Source organism: Homo sapiens, chromosome 7, assembly GCF_000001405.40.
Source record: "Homo sapiens chromosome 7, GRCh38.p14 Primary Assembly".
Lineage (NCBI taxonomy): Eukaryota > Metazoa > Chordata > Mammalia > Primates > Hominidae > Homo > Homo sapiens.
Window position 1 is genome coordinate 157,304,441 of NC_000007.14, and position 15,602 is coordinate 157,320,042.

The window sequence follows — 15,602 nt, forward strand, 5'->3', positions numbered from 1 at the left end:
ACAGAAGCTCTTAACCTGCTCCTGTTCCCCGCTGACATGGGCTCGTTCACCCCACCTTGGGCAACCTGGTGGCCCCCAGCTTCCAGAGGTCACCATATTGATGCTGAATTTAGCATGGACACCTAATCAATTTAACACACTGCAGCCTCAAGCTCCCGGGCTCACACAGTCATCCTACACTCCTGGCAATTCTGTTTTAGGAATTTAACTTTAGGAGATAGTAAAAGATAACTTCTTTTTTTTTTTTTTAAGTTGAGACAGGGTCTCGCCTTGTCTCCAGGCTGGAGTGCAGTAGTGCACTCACGGCCCACTACAACCTCAGCCTCCTGGGCTCAGGAGATTCTCCCACCTCAGCCTCCTGAGTAGCTGGGACTACAGGCACGCGTCACCATACTCAGCTAATTTTTAAATTTTTTTTGTAGAGATGGGGTCTCGTTATATTGCCCAGGCTGGTCTGGAAATCCTGGCAGCAAGTAATCCTCCTGCCTCAGCCTCCAAAAGTGCTGGGATTACAGGCAGGAGCCACCACCCTCGACCCCAGCAAAAGATAACTTTTAAAAAGAATATAGTCGTGATTCATACAGATATAAAATGAGCATGTGTTAAAAGATTTCATGTAACTCGTTCAGATGTTACAACTGGTTTAAAAATAATTCCAAGAACCACACACATATAGGAAATGTCAAAGAAAGAGTCAAACTGTAAAATATTTGAAGAAATTTATTCTGAGCCAAATACGAGTGACCATGGCCCATGACACAGCCCTCAGGAGGTCCTGAGAACATGGAACCAAGGTGGTTGGGGCGCAGCTTTATACATTTTAGAGAGGCATGAGACATCAATCAAATGCATTTAAGAAATACTTTGGCCGCGTGCAGTGGCTCACGCCTGTAATCCCAGCACTGTGGGAGGCCGAGGCGGGTGGATCACCTGAGGTTAGGAGTTCGAGACCAGCCTGGCCAACATGGTGAAACCCTCGTCTCTACTAAAAATACAAACAAATTAGCTGGGCGTGGTGGCAGGCGCCTGTAATCCCAGCTACTCAGGAGACTAAGGCCGGAGAATCGCTTGAACCCGAGAGGCAGAGGTTGCAGCAAGCCGAGATTGTGCCACTGCACTCCAGCCTGGGTGACAAGAGCGAAACTCCGTCTAAAAAAAAAGAAAGAGAGAGAGAGAAAGAGAGAGAGAGAGAGAGAGACTTGGGTTTGGTCCAGAAAGGAGGGACGACTCAAAGCGGGGGCTTCCAGGCTATAGGTAAGTTTAAACATTTTCTGGTTGACAATTGGTTGAGTTTATCTAAAGACCTGGGATCGACAGAAAGGAAATGTTCAGGTTAACATAAAAGATTGTAGGCCGGGCGCAGTGGCTCACGCCTGTAATCCCAGCACTTTGGGAGGCTGAGGCAGGTGGATCACCTGAGGCCAGGAGTTCGAGACCAGCCTGACCAACATGGTGAAACCCCGTCTCTACTAAAAATATAAAATTAGCCGGGCGTGGTGGTGCATTCCTGTAATCCCAGCTACTAGAGAGGCTGAGGCAGGAGAATCACCTGAACCCAGGAGATGGAGGTTGTAGTGAGCTGAGATCATGCCACTGCACTCCAGACTGGGCCACAGAGTGAGACTCTGTCTCAAAAAATAAATAAATAAAAATAAATAAAATCAGCCGGATGTGGTGGCACATGCCCGTAATCCTATCTACTCAGGAGGCTGAGGCAGGAGAATCGCTTGAACTCAGAGGTGGAAGGTTGCAGTGAGCCAAGATCGTGCCACTGTACTCCAGTCTGGGCAACAAGAGCAAAACTCTGTCTCAAAAAAAAAAAAAAAAAAAAGATAAAAGATTGTTGGGTGGGTGCAGTGGCTCACACCGGTAATCCCAGCACTTTAGGAAGCTGAGGCAGGAGTTTCACTTGAGGTCAGGAGTTCAAGACCAGCCTGGCCAACATGGTGAAACCCTGTCTCTACTAAAAATACAAAAATTAGCCAGGCGTGGAGGCGTGCACCTGTAATTCCAACTACTAGGGAGGGGCTGAGGCAGGAGAATTGCTTGAACCTGGGAGGCAGAGGTTGCAGTGAGCCGAGACCGTGCCACTGCACTCCATCCTGAGCGAGAGAGCAAGACTCCATCACACACACACACACACACACACACACACACACACACACAAAGACCGTGGAGACCAAGGTTTTTTTGAATCTATCGCGGCTGCCCTTAGAGACAAAAGATGACAAATGTTTCCTGTTCAGATCTTTAAAAGGTGCTAGACTTTCAGTTACTGTCTTCAGGATTGGGAGGGCCTGGAAGAAAAAGATCTATGTTACTAGAGACTCTTTACAGATGCATTTTTCCCCCACAAAGGATGCTTTGCAGGGCCATTTCAAAATATGGCAAAGAAACATGATTTGGGGTAAAATATTTTGATTTTCTTCTTTGTCATGTAATGTTATGCCAGAGTCAGATTGGAAAGTAAGTCACGTTATATAGGGTTAAAGAAAACCCATCTGTCTCTGAAGACGTCCCGCTGAGCCCTGGTGGACTTGAATCCACTAGGAAAGCTCAACCCAGCACAGCTCTCTAAGTCAGCATCCCAGTAAATGCACGTGGAGAGGAGGTTGGGCCAGGGCCACACAGAGCCTCAGGTCCGACATCTGCCAAACAAGACACCAGCTGTGTGCAGCCACAGCTCCTTCATGAAACTCTTGGGACCCAATGTGCTTTGGAACTCGGAATTTTCCCAAACTTTGAAAAGTCGATTCTGCACATATACTATGGTTCTGTTCCATCCCATCTCCGGAGGGTAGGCAGCAGAGTGTGTGCAGGTCCACACTGGCCATCAGTAGCCTCAGACCAATTATGTCATATTTTACAACCAAGGAGTTTCTTAAAAATGTACTTTCTGACCGGGCGCGGCGGCTCATGCCTGTAATCCCAGCACTTTGGGAGGCCCCGCCACTCTAACTAGGTGAACTCTCCCTCGCCCGAGGCTCCAACCAGCTTCCACCTCCTGGTTTGTCCACTCCGCTTCACGGCCACACCTCTGACTGCGCTTTGAGGGCTGCACCAGCTGTGTGAGCATCTCACCTGCTCGTCGGACAGACTTGGGTTTCTCGGTCCCCTGCTTCTGAATTATCTGCTCCCATCACCTGCAGGCTTTCTTCCGCATAACAAGGCAACGTTTGTTCACCAGACCCATTCTTCCTGGACCACCCCAAAACTTGTCTCCATCACACCCAGAAACCCCAACTCCTCTTCCTTTCTGTAGCTCAGAATGCCATCCAGGCCTCCGTCATCCAGCCCTTCTTTGCTTCTTATAGCTCTGCGGAACTATACCAGGAAGGGGTCCTGATCCAGACCCCAAAAGAGGGTTCCCGGATCTCACGCAAGAAAGAATTTGAGGTGAATCTATAGAGTAAAGTGAAAGCAAGTTTACTAGGAAAGCAAAGGAATGGCTACTCCATAGGCAGAGCAGCAGCTTAGGCTGTCTGAGTAAGAATACTTATGGTTATTTACTGATTATGTGCTAAACAAAGGGGTGGATTATTCATGAGTTTTCTTCAAAAGAGGTGGGCAGTTCCTGGAACTGAGGGTTCCTCCCCTTTCTAGACCATATATGGTAACTTCCTGACGTTGCCATGGCATTTGTAAACTGTCAAGGCAATGGCGGGAGTGGTTTTTAGCAGCTAATGTGTTATAATTAGCATATAATGGGCTGGGGAGGTGGCTCACTCCTGTAATCCCAGCACTTTGGGAGGCCGAGGCAGGTGGATCACGAGGTCAGGAGTTCAAGACCAGCCTGGTCAACATGGTGAAAACAAATACAAAAATGAGGCTGGGTGCGGTGGCTCGCGCTTGTAATCCCAGCACTTTGGGGTACCGAGGCGGGCGGATCACGAGGTCAGGAGATGGAGACCATCCTGGCTAACACAGTGAAACCCCGTCACTACTAAAAATACAAAAAATTAGCCGGGCGTGGTGGGTGGGCGTCTGTAGTCCCAGCTACCCAGGAGGCTGAGGCAGGAGAATGGCATGAACCCGGGAGGCGGAGCTTGCAGTGAGCTGAGATCGCACCACTGCACTCCAGCCTGGGCGACTGAGCAAGACTCCGTCTCAAAAAAAATACAAAAATTAGCCAGGCATGGTGGCAGGTGCCTGTAATCCCAGCTACTTGGGAGGCTGAGGCAGGAGAATCGCTTGAACCTAGGAGGCGGAGGTTGCAGTGAGTCAAGACCGCGCCACTGCACTCCAGCCTGGCGACAGAGCGAGACACAGTCTCAAAAAAAAAAAAAAAAAAATTAGCATATAATGAGCAGTGAGGACAACCAGAAATCACTTTCATCTCGGTATTTGTGGGTTTTAGATGGCTTTTTTTTTTTTTTTTTTTTTTGAGATGGAGTTTCGCTCTGTTGCCCAGGCTGGAGTGTAGTGGCACGATCTTGGCTCACTGTAACCTCTGCCTCCCGGGTTCAAGCGATTCTCCTGCCTCAGCCTCCCTAGTAGCTGGGATTACAGGCATGCGCCACCACGCCCGGCTAATTTTGTATTTTTAGTAGAGACGGGGTTTCTCCATGTTGGTCAGGCTGGTCTCGAACTCCCGACCTCAGTTGATCCGCTTGCCTCAGCCTCCCAACGTGCTGGGATTACAGGCGTGAGCCACCGCGCCCGGCCTTAGGTGGCTTCTTTACCGCATCCTGTTTCATCAGCAAGGCCTTTGTGACCTGTATCTTGTGCCACTTCCTATCTCATCTGGTGACTTGGAATGCTGACCCTCCTGGGAATGCAGCCCAGTAGGTGTCAGCCTCATTTTACCAGCCCCTGTTCCAGATGGAGTCGCTCTGGGTGAAATGCCTCTGACAGTACTCCCAGGCATGTGTGTGGAATTAGAATGATTTTCACCTGTTAAATCCGTTCTATGTCAATTTAATTCCTAGACCAGCCAAAGAACCAGCAGGGGTGGAAGGAAGCACAGGCTTTTCCTCCCTCCAGCTGGACAGCTTGTTGTAAATTCTCTTTGCCCAGCACTCGTCACAGGGGCTGGCCCTTTCCGAGCTCATGTCATGTTGTCATTTCCACACTCGATCCTAACTTTCCTTCATCGCGAGGTCTTTCCCACTGTAGGACACACGGGGCCACCTGTGAGTAGCGGAGACCCGTGGTACCAGGAGCCCACCTAACACTGCGGTCCCTGCCTCTCTCACCCAGACAGCTGCAGGGAGGTAGGTGAGGCTTGGGCAGCAGCCCTGCTCACACAGGGCCGGGGCTTCGGGACCCAACTGTACATTTCAGGCTGCAGGAGGGGAAGAATCAGTGAAACATGGGCCTCTGCTGCATCACGCTCAACCCTGGGCCTGACCTCGTTCTGTGGCCACACCCAGCCACAAGCAATGCCAGCCAAGAACCTAGAACCCAGGGCTTAGTTCTGAAGAACAAAGGGAAGATGCTCCCTGGAGGACACTGGCAGTTTCCACTTGGAAAAGTTATGCTTTCCAACTCGAATGGGCTGAGGTTTCCGTCCCAGTACCCTGGGTTCTCTAGTGACCAGAAAGACCCCTGGTCGAGACCAGGGAGCACCCACCACCTGATCAGGGACACGGAGATGGCTCTCAGATCGTCCAGCCATTCTGGGGAGGCCAGCCCCGCCATCCCCCAAAGATTGCGGTTAAATTTCTCCGCAGCTTCAGATGCATTTGCAGTTCTTTGGAACTTCAGGTATTTAAAGATTCTCCAACTGGGTTCAGGGCTCTGTCTGACTCCACAGTCATGACTCATAAATTGTGGTAATAACATAAATATTTGGGAAATGAATGAGGCTGGGAGCCTAGGAAGTGAGGATGTTACGGCTGGTGGAGGAGAAGGCTGAGACCCATACTGAAATTATAAATCTAAAGGGAAAGGAATGCAGAGTCGGTCCAGCAGCCACAATCTGGTATCTTGGTGGAGTGAGAGCCACACGAGAGGTTTCCTTGCCTCTCAGGTTAGTTCATCTTACCTAGATCACCTGAGGCCCCGCAGAATGGGAGCCATTGTTCCCTTCCATTAACAGCACACAAGGAGCAGTTGTCACCACTGGCAGAATAACAATGAGAGCATTATGATTGCATTTCCTATGAATGGAAGGCATCATTGCCATGATTTTTCCATTTGAAACTATTTCACTCTGAAGTGAGGAAAAGTACCAGATTAAAAAGAATGAAAGTTTCCTTGTTTTCAATTTGATAGAGACAAAATTACCACAAACTTGGCTTTATTTGCAATTCTAGAACTGGGAAACACCCCATTCTATAAAACAGAACGAGGGCTCCTGCGTGCTGGGTAGAGGAGGTTGGTTCTGTAAACAGAAAGGGGCTGAGGAGGCAGACACAGAACAAAAAGCAGATTGGTCATTTCCAAGAGGTTTTCCTTGGAAGGTTCCAGCAGAGGGGACTTCCTCATCATGCTGGCAAGACCTGGCTGGCTTGGGGCTATTCCCTGTCTCCTGGTTTCCTGGAAGGTGAGATGAACAAGTTAGTTTTGGCTTGGTGACGTGGAACTCTAGCATGAGTGGCTGTGTTTTGGGCTGGTCTACCAGGCCTAGAGCAGGAGCTCAGGCCAAACCAGTGCACTCCTGTATAGTGCAGCCTTGACATAACTAACTCCATCTTGAAGCCAGGCGGGGGCTCACACCTGTAATCCCAGCACTGTGGGAGGCCGAGACAGGCGGATCACTTGAGGAGTTTGAGACTGGCCCGAGCAACACAGTGAAACCTTGTCTCTACTAAAAATACAAAACTTAGCCAGGCGGGGTGGCGCACACCTGTAATTCCAGCTACTCGGGAGGCTGAGGTGAGAGGATTGCTTGAATCCGGGAGGCAGAGGCTGCAGCGAGCCGAGATCGTGCCACTGCACTCCAGCCTGGGTGACAGAGCGAGACCCTGTCTCAAAAAAACAAAAACAACGAACTCCATCTTGGAAAAAGACTCCATTTTCTATTTCATGGGGAACTCTGCCAACAAGGATGAGGCATTTTGCTTAATAAATAAGCCTGGGTGCGCTGGCTCGTGCCTGTAATCCCAGCACTTTGGGAGGCTGAGGTGGGCGGATCACCTGAGGTGGGGAGTTCAAGACCAGCCTGACCAACATGGAGAAACCCCGTCTCTACTAAAAATACAAAAATTAGCTGGGCGTGGTGGCGGGCGCCTGTAATCCCAGCTACTCGGGAGGCTGAGGCAGGAGAATCGCTTGAACCCAGGAGGCGGAGGTTGCGGTGAGCCAAGATCACGCCGCTGCACTCCAGCCTGTAATCCCAGCTACTTGGGATCCTGCCACTGCACTCCCAGCAGAGACCAGGACTCCTTTTGTCTTCTCGCCCTGTGGACTGGTTCATTAACACTCCCTCTCACCCTCCCTCCCTTCCTCCCTTCTTTCTGTCCTTCCTTCCTTTCTGAGTCTTGCTCTATCACCCCGCTGGAGTGCAGTGGCGTGATCTTGGCTCACTGCAATGTCTGTCTCCCGGGTTCAAGCAATTCTCCTACCTCAGCTTCCCGAGTAGCTGGGATTACAGGAGCTCACCACCATGACCAGATAATTTTTGTATTTTCAGTAGAGTTGGGGTTTCACCATGTTGGCCAGGCTGGTCTTAAATTCCTGACCTCAGGTGATTCACCCGCCTCGGCCTCCCAAAGTGCTGGGATTACAGACACGAGCTGCTGTGCCTGGCTCCTCTTTATTTCTTTTTATTTTTAAAATAAAAATTAAAAAGAGACAGGGTCTCACTAAGTTGTCCAGGCTGGTCTTGAACTCCTGAGCGCAAGTGAACATCCTGCCCCAGCCTCCCAAAGTGCTGGGATTACAGATGTGAGCCACCCTGCCTAGCTGCCTCTTTTTCCTTTTTTTTTTTTTTGAGACAGAGTCTCACTCTGTGGCCCAGGCTGGAGTGCAGTGGTGCAGTCTCAGCTCACTGCAACCTCTACCTCCCAGGTTCAAGTGATTCTCCTGCCTCAGCCTCCCAAGTAGCTGGCATTACAGGCACATGTTACCATGCCTGGCTAATTTTTGTATTTTTAGTAGAGACGGGGTTTCACAATATTTGCCAGGCTGGTCTCGAACTCCTGACCTCAAGTGATCCACCTGCCTCAGCTTCTTGAAGTGCTGGAATTACAAGTGTGAGCCAGCATGCCTGGTCCTCCGTTTCCTCTTGATTTTAAATGTTACTTAAATGTGGAGGCTAGGCACGGTGGCTCACACCTGTAATCCCAGCACTTTGGGAGGCCGAGGTGGGCAGATCATGAGGTCAGGAGTTTGAGACCAGCATGGCCAACATTGTGAAACCCCATCTCTACTAAAAATGCAGAGGTTGCAGTGAGCCGAGATCATGCCACTGCACTTCAGCTTGGGCCACAGAGTGAGACTCTGTCTCAAAAAAAAAAAAAAAAAGTTGTGGAATGTTTAACCTATAACATTTCTATATTGATTAAGTATACTATTACAGGTCAGGTGCGGTGGATCACGCCTGTAACCCCAGCACTTTGGGAGGTTGAGGCGGGAGGATTGCTTGATTCCAGGAGTTTGAGACAAGCCTGGGCAATGTAGTGAGACCCTGTCTCTATTTTTTAAATAACAGTAATAAAATAGAAAAAAAAACAAGAAAAAAAGTACACTATCGTGTTCAGTTTGCAACATTGACTGATCTGTGGAGAGGCTTGAGCCTGTGTGCCCACGTCTCTGACCACGGACTCACCAGGAAGTGGTGAGGAGAACTGTCTCCTTACGAACTCCATGGAGCTCATGGTTTTTGTGATTGAGGCAGCATCAGTAGAAGCCCGACACTGTGGAAAGACAAAACATGCAAGGACCTGGTTATCTCCAACCTTGCACGGCTCATGACACCTCCTATAAACTTTATTTAACAAATCTTATTTAAAGTATGGCCTGGCTGGGCACGGTGGCTCATGCCTGTCATCCCAGCACTTTGGGAAGCTGAGGTGGGAGGACTGCTTGAGCCCAGGAGTTTGAGACCAGCCTGGGCAACCTAGCTACCAAAAAAAATACAGAAAATTAGCCAGGTGTGGTGGCGCACACCTGTAGTCCTAGCTACTCAGGAAGCTGAGGTGGGAGAATCACCTGAGCCTGGGAGGTTGAGGCTGAGCCATGATCGCACCATTGCACTCCAGCCTGGGTGACAGAATCAGGCCCTGTCTCCAAAAAAATAAAGTATGGCCTTCCTAAATTGGAATTATTTCAACAATGTCCATTTTTTCTGATATAATTTCTGTTAAGTCATCAGTAAAATGTATCGATTACGTCTGGATTTACTTAAAAGAGCCTCCCTCTCGTGAACTGCCCCGAGTTGTACGTGCCCTAAAGTGAGGAAAGCATCTCGCCGAGCCGGTCCGGAGAGGCAGGCTATGTGCCTGTGTCCACTGCCTCCTGCCTCCAGTAAGCACACATCGTGTGTCCATCCAGCTAATGGCCAGATGAGCAACCTACCGCTGCACATGTATCCCTGGCTTGGGTGTTACTGCCGTGACCTTTAACCTCTTTTAACAATTGGAAGCCCACTGTGTGCCACCACGCCGAAGGCTGAGCATCTCTGGGGATGGAGAGTGAGGCGGCAGAGCTGCATGGGGCAGCGCAGGTGCACGTCGTCAATTCTCTGAATCAGAAAGTGAACTGGAGGTGAGTGTGAGGGAAGAGAATAAAAACCCGACCCAGCCCTGGGAGCGGGCTCTGCAGCGCGCCTGTGGCTCTGCCCGCGGCTGCTGGCTCTCACCTTTCTGGCCGCCATGCTGGGCAAGGATGCAGGACTCCTGCCCTGCCTTCCTGGGGGCCAGAGGCCTGCAGGGCACCCTCGACTGTGGGCGGCATGGCTGGGGCCTCAACAGCTCCTCTCAGGTAGGCTGCCCTTCCAGTATCGAAGACTCGTCACCCATGTCCCCTCTTTCCAGGCCTCCACTCCATTGGGGACCCACATCCTCCTGCTGCTTTCGTGGGATCCGTGCTGGTCGCTTTCTCAGGACTGAATTGAAACCGCCTTTGCAAAAACTATAACAGAGGAAATTAAGACAGTGAAAGAGATCAGACCCAACCGACTCCATCTTGCTTCTAACATTTAAGCTGTCCTTGTTCATTCCTGGGTGGAGGCCAAACTAACTTTGGGAAGCAATTCAGTTTGAGAACTAAACTCTGATTTTTTTTCTTTTTTCTTTTCTTTCTTTTTTTTTTGTGATGGACTCTCGCTCTGTTGCCCAGGCTGCCGTGCAGTGATGTGATCTCAGCTCACTGCAACCTCCGCCTCCCGGGTTCAAGCAATTCTTCTGCCTCAGCCTCTCAAGTAGCTGGGATTACAGGCACACGCCACGACGCCCAGCTAATTTTTTGTATTTTTAGTAGAGACAGGGGTTTCACCATTTTGGCTAGGCTGGTCTCGAACTCCTGACCTCAGGTGATCCACCCGCCTTGGCCTCCCAAAGTGCTGGGATTACAGGCGTGAGCCACCGCGCCCGGCCTGATTTTCTTTTTCTTGCCCATTCCTATCTAAGGGGCCTGGGGAGTTATGCCCTGGAAACCAGAAATTCTCATCCGATGGGTCTTATTTAACCTTATATATCATGACTTACTTTCCAATCTGACTCTGGCATAACATTACGTGACAAAGAAGAAAATCAAAATATTTTATCCCAAAACATGTTTCTTTGCAATATTTTGAAATGGCCCTGCAAATCGTCCTTTGTGGGGGAAAATGTGCATCTGTGAAGAATCTCTAGCAACACAGCTAGATCTTTCTCTGCCAGGCCCCCTCAGTCCTGAAGAGGTTAACTGAGAGTCTAGCGCGTTTTATTTTATTTATTTATTTTGAGATGGAGTCTTGCTCTGTCACCCAGGCTGGACAATGGTGGGATCTCGGCTCACTGCAACCTCTGCCTCCCGGGTTCAAGCAATTCTCCTGCCTCAGCCTCCCAAGTAGCTGGGATTACAGGCATGCACCACCCTGAACGACTAATACTGTATTATAGTAGAGATGCTGTTTCACCATGTTGGCCAGGCTGGTCTCGAATTCCTGGCCTCAAGTGATCTGCCCACCTCGGCCTCCCAAAGTGCTGGGATTACAGGCATAAGCCACCGCACCCGGCGAGTCTAGCGCCTTTTAGAGGTCTGAAAAGGAAACATTTGTCATCTATTGTCTCTAAGGGCAGCCACTATAAGACTTCAAAATAACCTTGGTCTCCACAATCTTTTATCTTAACCTGAACATTTTTCTCTATGATCCCAGGTCTTTAGACAAATTCAACCAATTGGTTGCAAATGGTTGCAATATTCCAGCAACACAGTAGTAGCTGTAAGCCCAGCTACTAGGGAAGCTGAGGCAGGAGAATCGCTTGAACCAGGGAGGTGGAGGTTGCAGTGAGCCCAAGATTGCACCACTGCATTCCAACCCGGGCGACAGAGACTCTGTCTCCAAAAAAAAAAAAAACAAAACAAAAAAATTTTTCCTATAGCTTGGCACCGCCCACCCTGCCCCCCTAACTTGCTTTGAGATGTCCCACCTTCCTGGACCAAACCAATGTATTTCTTAAATGTATTTGATTGACGTCTCATGCCTCCCTAAAATCTATAAAACCAAGCTGTACCCCAACCACCTCGGGCACATGTTCTCAGGACCTCCTGGGGGCTGTGTCACGGGCCATGGTCACTTATATTTGGCTCAGAATAAATCTCTTCAGATATTTTACAGAGTTTAACTCTTTTTGTAGACAAGTTTGTGGTTTGAATCTGAAAGAAAATTGATAATGGCCCTTTCCCAAAAAGACCCCCTTCTGGCCTGGAGACCTGTCAGCCTTTGCATGACTAACAAATTAGCTGCAAGATTAGAAATTACAGTTTAGGGGGTCAAACAGCCTCTGGCTCCAAGAATCGGAACCTCCCCAGTTGCCCCTGGGGATAACATCACTATTGTAAAACTTAAGATCAGTGCTTGAGATGTTTTGGAGACCCTGCATCCGCTGATACCACCCATTCAGGTAATCTGACTCAACCAGTTCAGCCCTCACACCCAGGAACAGAAGACAACAAGAAAACCTCACTTCAACCCCCTGTGAGTCCATCTCCAACCCGACCAATCAGCACTCCCCACTTCCCAAGCCCTTATCCACAAAATTAACTTTAAAAACTCTGATCCCTGAATGCTCCGGGAGACTGATTTGAGTAATAGTAAAACTCCTGTCTCCCTCACAGTCTGCTCTCTCCATTGCAATTCCCCTAACTTGATCAATCGGCTCTGGGCAGCGGGCAAGGTGAGCCCATTGGGTGGTTACACAATGAGTGCCCAGAGCCTTTGATCTTCTAAAAAAGTCACACACCTCTCTAGTGTGTCCATGTCCAATTAAGCCACTGTCCAAGAATACGTTTGTTCATTCACTCATTCCATCAATATTTGATGGACACCGGGAGGGTACGGTGGCTCATGCTTGTAATCCCGGCGTTTTGGGAGGCCGAGATGGGTGGATCACCTGAGATCAGGAGTTCGAGACCAGCCTGGCCAACATGGCGAAACCCTGTCTCTACTAAAAATACAAAAATTAGTTGGGCGTGGTGGCGGGTGCCTGTAGTCTCAGCTACTCGGGAGGCTGAGGCAGGAGAATTGCTTGAACCCGCAAGGCGGAGGTTGCGGTGAGCCGAGATTATGCCATTGCACTCCAGCCTGGGAGAAGAGAGTGAAACTCCGTCTCAAAAACAAAACAAAAGAAAACAAAACAAAAGGAGACAATTTTCAAACAACTGGGGTCACTTACCTATGGGTTATATACCAGCCCATATTATTGAATAAATGTTTTCTTAGGAGTGTCAAAAGACAAAATTAGGCTGGGCACGGTGGCTTACACCTGTAATCCTAGCACTTTCAGAGGCTGAGGCGGGCGGATCACTTGAGACCTCCTGGGCAGGAGTTCAAGGCCAGCCTGGGCAACTTAGTGAGACCTTATCTCTACTAAAAATACAAAAATGAGCCAGGCTTGGTAGTGCGTGCCTGTGGTTCCAGCTACTCAGGAGGCTGAGGTGGGAGGATCGCTTAAGCTGGGGAGGTTGAGGCTGCAGTGAGCCAAGATCAGGCCACTGCACTCCAGCCTGGGCAGCAAAAGAGCAAGAGCTTGTCTCAGAGAATAATAATAATAATAATATGTGAATAAAAATAAGGAAAGCTATGGAGAAAAGGTACTACTTGGTGAATACCTTTTGAAGGGTTTGCAGGTGTTCACTTGATTTTTTTGTTTGTTTGTTTTTGAGATGGAATCTCGCTCTGTCGCCCAGGCTGGAGTGCAGTGGCGCAATCTCGGCTCACTGCAAGCTCCGCTTCCCGGGTTCATGCCATTCTCCTGCCTCAGTCTCCCGAGTAGCTGGGACTACAGGCGCCCGCCGCCACACCCGGCTAATTTTTTATATTGTTAGTAGAGACGGGGTTTCACCGTGTTAGCCAGGATTGTCTGGATCTCCTGACCTTGTGATCCGCCCGCCTCAGCCTCCCAGAGTGCTGGGATTACAGGCATGAGCCACCGCACCCAGCCCACTTGATTATTTTTTCAAATTTTCTGTAGGTTTGAAAAATGAAATCAGAAACGGGGACAGTGTTTTGTGTTTTGTGTTAAAGGGACGGTCAGCTGGCGCATGGGACCTCTGCAGCCTGGCTTTGGGCCCTTGGACGCTGATGACCCCGCCATGCCCAGGAGCCCCGGGTGGCTCCCTTGAGCTGCAGGTTGAGCTTGTCAGGGCCTGCCCAGTGGCTGCTGGGAAGGGACAGGGAAAACCCTGCCCTGTCATTTCATAGGGCTGAGCATCAACTAGAAAAGAAAATTTCCCAGATTTCAGACTTCAAAAAAGTGGGGGAAGTGTGGGGAAAATCTACCAATTGACTGAAAATGAGAAAACATTCCCTCTGGAGGGGACGCTGCTTGACAGGCTGAGTGCTAGAGAAGCTTGCAAGAGCAACAAAGGCCCGGCTTTAGTTTCCTCCGCAGAATCTGCCTGTTCTTTCACTCTGCTGATCACTCTCAGGGTTCAGGCATGAAGAGGAGACCTCAGCGTTCTGAGCCCAGGACAGTCACTTCCTTCTGGCTCAGCTGAGGGTTCCTGGAGGCGTTTGTTTGCGTGCTGTCTCAGCTCTGAGATGAGGAAGCTCTGGGCCCAGTGACCTCACTCACCTGCCTCTCCGGATCCAGATCCAGAACTGCCCATGAATCCCTTCGTGGATGTCTCAACCTGTTTCCTCTTTGGAAGATGAGGCCTCTGGATCTGGTACCATCTGACGCCCCTTCCTGCTGGAAATCTGCCTGATTCTTTGCCAGTCCAGCCTCATTATAGAACTGACTCAATTTATGGCCCATGGAAGAAAATGAAAGGGACTGTTTAGGGACTTTACATACTCTTAGGACTTTTATTAAAATCCCATGTCCCGGCTGGGCACGGTGGCTCACGCCTGTAATCCCAGCACTTTGGGAGGCCAAGGCAGGTGGATCACCTGAGGTCAGGAGTTGGAGACCAGCTTGGCCAACATGGTGAAATGCTGTCTCTAATAAAAATACAAAAATTAGCCAGGTGTGGTGGCAGGTGCCTTTAATCCCAGTTACTCAGGAGGCTGAGGCAGGAGAATCGCTTGAACCCAGGAGGTGGAGGTTGCAGTGAGCCGAGATCCTGCCACTGCGCTCTAGCCTGGGTGACAGGCAACAGTTCTGGGATTACAGGCATGAGCCACTGCGCCCAGCCAAAAAAAAAAAAAACTTTATTAAATTATAAAAAGAGAGAGATGGCTGGGCATGGTAGCTCACACCTGTAATTTTAGCACTTTGGGAGACCAAGGCAGGCGGATCACCTGAGGTCAGGAGTTCGAGACCAGCCTGACCAAAATGGAGAAACCCTGTCTCTACTAAAAATACAAAATTAGCCGGGCATGGTGGTGCATGCCTGTAATCCCAGCTACTCGGGAGGCTGAGGCAGGAGAATTGCTTGAACCCAGGACGCGGAGGTTGCGGTGCACCAAGATTGCGCCATTGCACTCCAGCCTGGGCAACAAGAGCAAAACTCCATCTCAAAACAAAAATAAATAAATAAAAATAAAAATACAAAGAGATGCAGAGTTGACTGGAAGGAAAGGGAGCCAGGTCCTCTGCACCCTGGCCTCTTTGAGCACACCATTGTGATCGGCACCAGAGTTTTGAATTGGCAGGACGTCTAGTACTTCTGGTTTAACCCTCATGGTTTGAATTTTCTCTCAAATAGCATAACAGAGATTAGTCTGCTCTGAGTTTGACTCCTCTCATTACTTCATGAGGCAGCCCCTTCCATTTGGAGAAGTGTGGATGAAAATTATTGCAAACACCCACCTCCTCTGTAAAGCTCCCCCGTGTCTGCTCACCCTGATGACCTTTTAGAGCCCGGGCAGGGACCTGAAGGCTACTGGTAGGGACAGTTTATAACAGGGGACTACATGTCCCGCGAGAGAGGCCACAAGTGGCATAGGTTATGCATGGAGCTATGGTTGGCCTGGAAGGTCACCCCGAGGATCTCATCCTGAGCTATGGTTAGCCTGGAAGGTCACCCCGAGGATCTCATCCTGAGCTATGATTGGGCCTGGAAGGTCA

The 15,602-nt window shown here is 49.7% G+C and overlaps 10 annotated features.

Moving 5' to 3' along the window:
• Positions 3,757–4,298: an enhancer, noted in NCBI's record as "H3K27ac-H3K4me1 hESC enhancer chr7:157100891-157101432 (GRCh37/hg19 assembly coordinates)". NCBI's record gives its function as "activates a minimal SCP1, AML or CMV promoter by ChIP-STARR-seq in primed H9 embryonic stem cells {active_cell/tissue: H9 hESC(primed)}" and the evidence as "EXISTENCE:reporter gene assay evidence [ECO:0000049][PMID:30033119]".
• Positions 4,299–4,838: an enhancer, noted in NCBI's record as "NANOG-H3K27ac-H3K4me1 hESC enhancer chr7:157101433-157101972 (GRCh37/hg19 assembly coordinates)". NCBI's record gives its function as "activates a minimal SCP1, AML or CMV promoter by ChIP-STARR-seq in primed H9 embryonic stem cells {active_cell/tissue: H9 hESC(primed)}" and the evidence as "EXISTENCE:reporter gene assay evidence [ECO:0000049][PMID:30033119]".
• Positions 4,839–5,380: an enhancer, noted in NCBI's record as "NANOG-H3K27ac-H3K4me1 hESC enhancer chr7:157101973-157102514 (GRCh37/hg19 assembly coordinates)". NCBI's record gives its function as "activates a minimal SCP1, AML or CMV promoter by ChIP-STARR-seq in naive and primed H9 embryonic stem cells {active_cell/tissue: H9 hESC(naive and primed)}" and the evidence as "EXISTENCE:reporter gene assay evidence [ECO:0000049][PMID:30033119]".
• Positions 5,381–5,920: an enhancer, noted in NCBI's record as "OCT4-NANOG-H3K27ac-H3K4me1 hESC enhancer chr7:157102515-157103054 (GRCh37/hg19 assembly coordinates)". NCBI's record gives its function as "activates a minimal SCP1, AML or CMV promoter by ChIP-STARR-seq in naive and primed H9 embryonic stem cells {active_cell/tissue: H9 hESC(naive and primed)}" and the evidence as "EXISTENCE:reporter gene assay evidence [ECO:0000049][PMID:30033119]".
• Positions 5,381–6,462: a biological region, named in NCBI's record as "OCT4-NANOG-H3K27ac-H3K4me1 hESC enhancers GRCh37_chr7:157102515-157103054 and GRCh37_chr7:157103055-157103596".
• Positions 5,875–6,169: a silencer, noted in NCBI's record as "tiled region #8406; K562 Repressive non-DNase unmatched - State 23:Low". NCBI's record gives its function as "represses a minimal TATA promoter and a strong SV40 promoter by Sharpr-MPRA in K562 cells {active_cell/tissue: K562}" and the evidence as "EXISTENCE:reporter gene assay evidence [ECO:0000049][PMID:27701403]".
• Positions 5,921–6,462: an enhancer, noted in NCBI's record as "OCT4-NANOG-H3K27ac-H3K4me1 hESC enhancer chr7:157103055-157103596 (GRCh37/hg19 assembly coordinates)". NCBI's record gives its function as "activates a minimal SCP1, AML or CMV promoter by ChIP-STARR-seq in naive and primed H9 embryonic stem cells {active_cell/tissue: H9 hESC(naive and primed)}" and the evidence as "EXISTENCE:reporter gene assay evidence [ECO:0000049][PMID:30033119]".
• Positions 6,463–7,002: an enhancer, noted in NCBI's record as "NANOG-H3K27ac-H3K4me1 hESC enhancer chr7:157103597-157104136 (GRCh37/hg19 assembly coordinates)". NCBI's record gives its function as "activates a minimal SCP1, AML or CMV promoter by ChIP-STARR-seq in naive H9 embryonic stem cells {active_cell/tissue: H9 hESC(naive)}" and the evidence as "EXISTENCE:reporter gene assay evidence [ECO:0000049][PMID:30033119]".
• Positions 11,835–12,129: a silencer, noted in NCBI's record as "tiled region #5385; K562 Repressive DNase matched - State 10:DNaseD". NCBI's record gives its function as "represses a minimal TATA promoter and a strong SV40 promoter by Sharpr-MPRA in K562 cells {active_cell/tissue: K562}" and the evidence as "EXISTENCE:reporter gene assay evidence [ECO:0000049][PMID:27701403]".
• Positions 14,163–14,212: an enhancer, noted in NCBI's record as "active region_26925". NCBI's record gives its function as "activates an Ori minimal core promoter by ATAC-STARR-seq in GM12878 lymphoblastoid cells {active_cell/tissue: GM12878}" and the evidence as "EXISTENCE:reporter gene assay evidence [ECO:0000049][PMID:35858748]".